The sequence below is a fragment of the Homo sapiens genome, chromosome 1 (genome assembly GCF_000001405.40).
Source record: "Homo sapiens chromosome 1, GRCh38.p14 Primary Assembly".
Taxonomy (NCBI): Eukaryota; Metazoa; Chordata; class Mammalia; order Primates; family Hominidae; genus Homo; species Homo sapiens.
In genome coordinates, this window is record NC_000001.11 from 239969628 (window position 1) to 239977257 (window position 7630).

Genomic DNA, 7630 nt, shown 5'->3' on the forward strand with positions numbered 1-7630 from the left:
TGCATTGTAAATCACCAGGCATGCTCACTTCTCTGAAAAATATATATTTAGGCCATCTTATCATTAAATAAATTGTTTAATGAATAAAACACCACTGATTTATAGCCACACCAAGCTTTATGCATTCACATAGTTATTGTTTTATAAGTAAAATCCTGTTGTTAAACTTTAGTTCCACAAAATCTAATATTCTGAAAGACCTACCTTCTAACAGCAACATGAACCTCTCCAACGTGTATAAATCTCATACCTGGAGCTGACCAAGAGGAAAGAGAGCCTCAGAGACCATCAGAGCCATTCCTGCAGTGGTTGAAGGTCTTCTGAAGTCTCTGCTGGTGTGTGTGGGGGGCAGCAGAGCTGGCTTCCTGCCCCCAATTAACTGGCAAATAATATTACAATCTGGGCTGCTCTGAGCCCAAATCAGATGGTTTTAGAGTGCTGCTTCTCAGAGAGGATATAGAAAGGTAGTCAGAATTGTCAGCATAATCCTCCCTGCTCAGTGTCAGAAAAGGAGGCTTGTTTATTTCAAGTTACTCTGCTCAAGAAATGTTATTTTAACATGATTTACCAGAAACAAAGGTGAACCTACAACCAGTAGTAAGAAAATCTCAAGACAGTATCAAATTGCTCAATATGGTTCAGTTCTGTTTAGATTTTTTGAGCTCCTACTATTTTAAAAGCACGGGCCTGGAATCTGGAGATAGTAAGTGGAGTAAGACCCTGTCCACTCTCTCAAGGCAGAGATTGGTGACACTGGGCAAGACACACCATTTCTCTGGGTTCTGGCTGCCTCATTTATGAAAAGCAACAATGTGAGTAGTTAATTTCTAAAGTTCCATTTGTGTTAAAAGGAATTTTTACAAAAAAGCAAAAAACTTTCTTATTCTAGAAATCCTTAGATAGCAGAGTAAATTTTACCTTAAGATCCATGTTTTTAAATGACAGTGTCATGAGCATAAAAGAAGGGAATATATCTGGCCGCAGTATTTAAATTACTCTTTGTTACCGGTATCAGAATATTGCAGTCTCTATTTTATGTCATCAAGTTTTCTTATTCCAAGAAGCAAGACAAATAAACCCACAATTTTCTACTAATTTTTCAGAAGTTGGGAATTATTTTCTAGTAAGAAGGCATGAAACCACTTTTCTTACTTACACATTTGTAGACATCTGAACTCCCATGCCAAGAGGGGATGCCAGAAGAGGTGAGGTGAGGGGGTAGCTTTGGCTAGTGAGGGCTCCCAGAGTCAGCATGCTGGGGGCGTCTTCCAACTGGAGTTGGGATAATGCTGCAATCCAAGTCAAGTGCAGAACCAGAAACAAGAGGATGGCAGGGGAGCCAGAGAAGGGAGATCCAATGGGCTCCCCAGAGAAGGGAGATCCAGAAAAGGGAGATCCAAGGGAGGTCAGAGGTGACCCCCAAGACCCAGAGTGAAGTAACACAGAGTAGGCCAATGAAGGAGGCCAATGTAAGCAGAGAAGGCAAAACAAGAGCGTGATTCTGGGAAATACCTGGGACCAAGTAGGTCCAGGCTGGTGGTTGCAGTGGGAAGGCAGTCGGGATTAAAGGATCTGGTAGGTTGTCAAGATGCGTGTTTATGATGACTTCATATCTGGGCTGTCTAGGAAAGTCCTAATTTCAAATACCGTAGTATTTTTGTCAGATGTTGCAACCAAAGTGCCTTCATTCAGCTGTACATGGCACCTCTGCTCGGCCAGGTGCTGGGCTAAAAATCTGCGACATAGTCGGGACCAAGGTGTAGACTCTGCTTTCAGGTCGCCCACTGTCCTGTGCAGGGGGCTAAGGATTATAGCAAGTATGGTAGAAAGCACAGCTACCAGGTTATTGTAATAAAACCTAATCTCTCCCTCAAAATTATTATAACCACTGGTCATTACTCTGATCTGATCCTCTTTTAAGAAATAAAGGATTTTTGGGGAGGCTGAGGCAGGTGGATCACCTGAGGTTAAGAGTTCACGACCAGCCTGGCCAACATGGTAAAACCCCGTCTCTACTAAAAATGCAAAAATTAGCCTGGCATGGTGGCACATGCTTGTAATACAAGCTACTCGGGAGGCTGAGGCAGGAGAATCACTTGAACCCACAAGGCAGAGGTTGCAGTGAGCTGGGATCGTGCCACTGCACTCCAGCCTGGGCAACAGAGTGAGACTCTGTCAAGAAAGAAAGGAAAGAAAGAGAGAAAGAGAGAAGGAAAGGAAAGGAAAGGAAGAAAGGAAGAAAAGAAAGGAAGAAGGAAGGAAGGAAAGAAAGAAAAGAAAGAAAAACAAAGAAAGAAAGAAAAGGAGGGAGGGAAGGAGGAAGGAAGGAAGGTAGGAAAGAAGGAAAGAAAGAAGGAAGGAAAGAAGAAAGAAAGAAAGAAAGAAAGAAAGAAAGAAAGAAAGAAAGAAAGAAAGAAAGAAAGAAAGAAAGAAAGAGAAAAGGAGGGAGGAAGGAAGGAAGGTAGGAAGGAAAGAAGGAAGGATTTTTGCAAAGTTCGCACACAGACACTGAGTTCTTTGGGGATAGCAGACAATGTATACTAGACTTTGGCTATGCTAACCATGAGATGTCCACTTTCTCACACTTGTGGCTGAGACCTCCTGCTGATCGCCTGTATTCTGTCCTCCCTTGTTTCCATTATATTCTCACCATCCCATAAGCAGATCACTTGCTACCAAAAGATTCCTATCACAAAGAAGTAACATGATTACCAGATATCTTTAGTGCATTACATCTAATCGTCAAAAGATATTTTATATAGACAGATGTTTATAGATGGAGGAAGGAGAGATGAATCTGGATGCAAATCCTGAGGATGGACAAATAATTTTACAAGTTTGCACGCATCACAAGGTGTATCTCCCAGTAACTGGATTGTCTTATATTTGTTTCTTGTGTGGAATTTTCACTGGCTTCCCATTTAAATTGAAAAATAAAAGCAAATAAATATTTCTTTACAAATTCTCTAGGATTGGGCCCATGGCCTGGGCTTGCAGGGCGTGCAACTGAGCGGTGCTGGGAGGGCAGCAGAGGTGGCAACAGAGCCACCAGATCCAGTTCCGGCACCAAACCGAACACGAAGTCAGGAGGTCCAAGACTAGCCTGGGATTGGACACGGTGAATGGATATCAGACCTGAGGCATGCCAAGGAAATATTTTCAAAGTTGGAAAAGTATGTTGATATAGATGCTGGAAAGTATACCATTGGCTTGGGCCAGGCCAAGATGGGCTCCTGCACACATGGAGAAGAGATCAACTCTCTTTGCATGCCTGTGGTTCAGAATCTTATGGAGAGAAAAAATCTTTCCTACGATTGCACTGGCCGACTGGAAGTTGGAACAGAGACAATCAAGGACAAATCAAAGTCAGTGAAGACTAATTTGATGCAGCTGTTTGAGGAGTCTGGGGATATAGATATAGAAGGAACCGACACAACTCATGCATGCTATGGAGCCCCAGCTGCTGTCTTCAGTGCTGTTAACTGGATTGAGTCCAGCTCCTGGGATGGACAGTTTGCCCTGGAGTTTGTAGGAGATATTGCTGTATATCCCACAGGAAAAGTTAGACTGACAGGTAGAGTCAGAGCAGTAGCTCTGCTAATTGAGCCAAATGCAACTTTAATTTTTGAACGAGGGCTTCGTGGGACACATATGCAACGTGCCTATGGCTTTTATGAGCCTGATATGCTCTCTGAATGTCCTATAGTAGATGGAAAACCCTCCACACAGTGCTGCTTCAGTGCATTAGATCACTGCTATTCTGTCGACTGCAAAACGATCCGTGCCCAGTGGCAGAAAGACGGAAATGATAAAGATTTTACCTTGAATAATTTTGGCTTCTTGATCCTTCACTCACCATATTGTAAACTGGTGAGTTTATCTCTAGCTCGGATGTTGCGGAATGACTTCCTTAATGATCAGAACAGAGATAAAAATAGTGTTTAGAATGTCCTGGAAGCCTTTGGGAATGTTAAATTAGAAGACATCTATTTTGATACAGATGTGGAGATGGCATTTATGAAGGATAGTTCCGAACTCTCCCATCAGAAAACAAAGGCATCTTTGCTGTATCCAGTGAAAATGGAAATACGTACACATCGTCAGTATATGGTTCCCCGCAACTGTCCCAGCGCAGTACTCACCTCAGCAATGATCAGGGAAGAGACTGGAGTGTTCTCGTACGGTTCTGGTTCAGCCGCCACCCTGTACTCTCTTAAAGTTCCACCAGATGCCACACCATGGTCTGCTGTTGATAAAATAACAGCAAGCTTATGGGATCTTAAATCAAGGTGTAGCTCAAGAACTTGTGTGGTACCAGATGTCTTTGTTGAAAACATGAAGCTCAGAGAGGACACCCATCACTTGGTCAACTCTGTTCCCCGGGGCCCAAGAGATTCACTCTTTGAAGAAACATGGTACTTAGCTATGGTGGGTGAAAAGCACAGAAGAAGTTACACTCCGTGTCCTTCTCCAAATAATGACACTTGGGATGAAGGAGTCAGACTTGTGCATTCAAACACAGTAACTGATCATATTCCAAGCCCTGCTAAGACAGTGCCAAGACTCCCTGCCACAGCAGCAGAAACGGGAGCAGCTGTCATTAGTAATGGGGAACATTAAGATATTCTGTGAGGTGCAAGGCTTTGGTGTGAGGGTGGGGATGGGATTACATGTTGCTCAGATTTTTATGTGAGTGACATGGAGCCTGGATGACCATCGTGTACTTGGGAAAGTCTCTTTTCCTCAATTTGCTGACATGTTTCCCACTGTGGTCTGGCCAATGCCAAGTGCGCTTGAGTGATGTTAAGGGCTCTATAAAACTTCAGACCTCTCTAGCCATTCGTATACATGAAGTTTAGTTTTCAACCATGGTATAATGAATCCTGTCCTTCTGTCAGAGGAAAGCAGAGGTACTAATCTTCAATTAAATTTTTTTAAAACAGATAAGAATTTTGTACTTTGAACAACAAGCTTACTGAAAGTTCTAGCTTGGGAAATGTGGTCTTAAAATGTGATATGCACAGATTCTTTGACAACGGCAAGACAAGGCCAGGTGCTCTGGCTCATGCCTGTAATCACAGCACTTTGAGAGGCCGAGGCGGGCGGATTGCCTGGGCCCAGGAACTTGAGACCAGCCTGGGCAACATGGCGAAACCCTGTCTCTACTAAAAATACAAAAATTAGCCGATGGGTGGCATGTGCTTGTGGTCCCAGCTACTCGGGAGGCTGAGGTGGGAAGACCTCTTGAGCCCAGGAGGCAGAGGTTGTAGTGAGCAAAGAAAGAAGGAAGGAAGGAAGGAAGGAAGGAAGGACGGAAGGAAGGAAGGAAGAAAGAAAGAGGAAAGAGGAAAGAAAGAAAGAAAGAAAGAAAGAAAGAAAGAAAGAAAGAAAGATAGAAAGAAAGGAAGGAAGGAAGGAAGGAAGGAAGGAAGGAAGGAAGGAAGGAAGGAAGGAAAGAAAGAAAGAAAGAAAGAAAGAAAGAAAGAAAGAAAGAAGGAAGGAAGGAAAAGAGGGAAAGAGGGAAAGAAAGAGAGAGGGAAGGAAGGAAGGGAGGGAGGGAGGGAGGGAAGGAAGGAAGGAAGGAAGGAAAGAAAGAAAGAAAGTAAGAGGAAAGAAAGAAAGGAAGGAAGGAAAAGAGGGAAAGAACGAGAGAGGGAAGGAAGGGAGGGAGGGAGGGAAGGAAGGAAGGAAAGAAAGAAAGAAAGAGAAAGAGGCAAGACAAAGAAAGAAAGAGGCAAGAGAAAGAAAAGAAAGAAAGAAAGAAAGAAAGGAGAAAGAAAGAAGAAAGAAAGGAAAGAAAGAAAGAAGGAAGGAAGGAAAAGAGGGAAAGAAAGAGAGAGGGAAGGAAGAACGGGAGGGAGGGAAGGAAGGAAGGAAGGAAAGAAAGAAAGAAAGAAAGAGAAAGAGGTGAGACAAAGAAAGAAAGAGGCAAGAGAAAGAAAGAAAGAAAGAAAGAAAGAAAGAAAGAAAGAAAGAAAGAAAGAAAGAAAGAAAGAAAGAGGCAAGACAAATATACACCCTTTTTTCTAAAATTGATAAATCCTGAAGAGGAAGAAAACAGCTGAGACAATAAAACTAGTTCTGGAATCTGGAATGTTGCTTTAAATCCAGGCCAGCCGTGACAAAAGTTGTTATGGCCTCTGAACAGAGAGACGCTGACATTGGGCAGGCTTCTGGTATAGGAAACATGGTACATTCGGAAGCCGTGAATAAAGCTCTGGGTGGCTCCTGAATCGGTTCATGGCAGATTATGGTGAGCAACATTGAGATGTTATTGGAAGTGTGAATGAGGACATTCACTGTTGCGATCCTTCTTTGCAACTTATTTTGAAGAATGAATGAAACATTTTTTTGGTTGCCTTTTTAAAAATTATAAATGGAAAGGAAGGACGGAGCAGGACATTATTAGGTTGCTTCTGATGCTTCAGTGTTATAAATTCAATATATAGACTGACAGCCTAAATTCAGGATGTAGAACAGTTCTTTTCATTTTTACTTTCTCCTTTTTTTTTCTTTTGCTATCTGTTCAATGAAAATAACAAGGTACAACCCAAGTTTTTACATAGTGTAACTAGAAGTATTCCACTTCAAGGTCTGAAAGTAGGATTTATGAAGCATTTTCTTAGACTTTTACCTTTAAAAAAGAACAAACAAAACCTGTCACACAGGATGGGTAAGAAGATTGGTTACACAGCTTTGTGGTGCTGACAATGAGCCTTATAGACTGTAAAATACAGATAGTTTGAACTAAGGTACAGAACTAAATTTTCTAAACTTTATTTGCTGTTAAAGAAATAATTCCTTATTTTAAAGAAAAAAACAAATTCTCGAAGTTTATAAAACATTTATTTTCTCAAGAAGGCTCACTTGCAAACATTTTGAAGTAAACAATGTCATAGCAGTCATGCACTGCCCTCTGGTGGTCACATGAGAGCCCTGCATGACAAATGCTGCAGGGCTCTGCATTTGGCGTCAGCAAAAGACAACATTCAAATTTAGACATTGCTATGGGCTTGCAGTTAGATCATATCCCAATTTTGTAAGAATCAATGTTTGGAAGATAACTTCGAGAGGAAGTCATTGTTTCTTCATTTCACATTGTAAAAAGGAGGTCTCTTTCCAAGTGTGGTATTTCAGGGAGTATTTATTGAGCACATAGATTCCAGGGCAGAAAATAGAGACCAGGTCACCGTCTCATAGCAGGGTAGGGGGTCGGGGAAAAGGGGCAGCAGTGTTAGGAAATGTTGAGAATGACTGGCCAACATCACAACTATGTATATCTGGCTTACAGAAAATAGTATATCAAACCAAAGCCCATTGATGGAATCCTTCTGATTACTTAAACAGTATATTTTATAAAATTTAAGAACTATTACCCAACATGTCTGTATACTTTCATCTAATCTTAGACACACAGTTTTTCCAAACATGGGATCAACTTACATCCCCAGTTACTTTTCTCACTTGATATGAGCCCTAATCCATGCTATTCAATTGTTTTTGAAAATCTGATTTAATTGCTGCATAGTGTTCCTTAATACATCTTGTACACAAATTACATGCTTCCATAGCTTCTGCTGCTGTCTCCCTCCACCAACCAAATCTGCTTTATTTCTAAAAGTGGACCTCA

The 7630-nt window shown here is 41.7% G+C and overlaps 1 pseudogene; it reads left to right on the plus strand.

Annotated features, from left to right (window-relative positions):
* Positions 3161-4817, plus strand: LOC128136 (3-hydroxy-3-methylglutaryl-Coenzyme A synthase 1 (soluble) pseudogene; annotated as a pseudogene).
* Positions 4818-7630: the final 2813 nt, after the last annotated feature.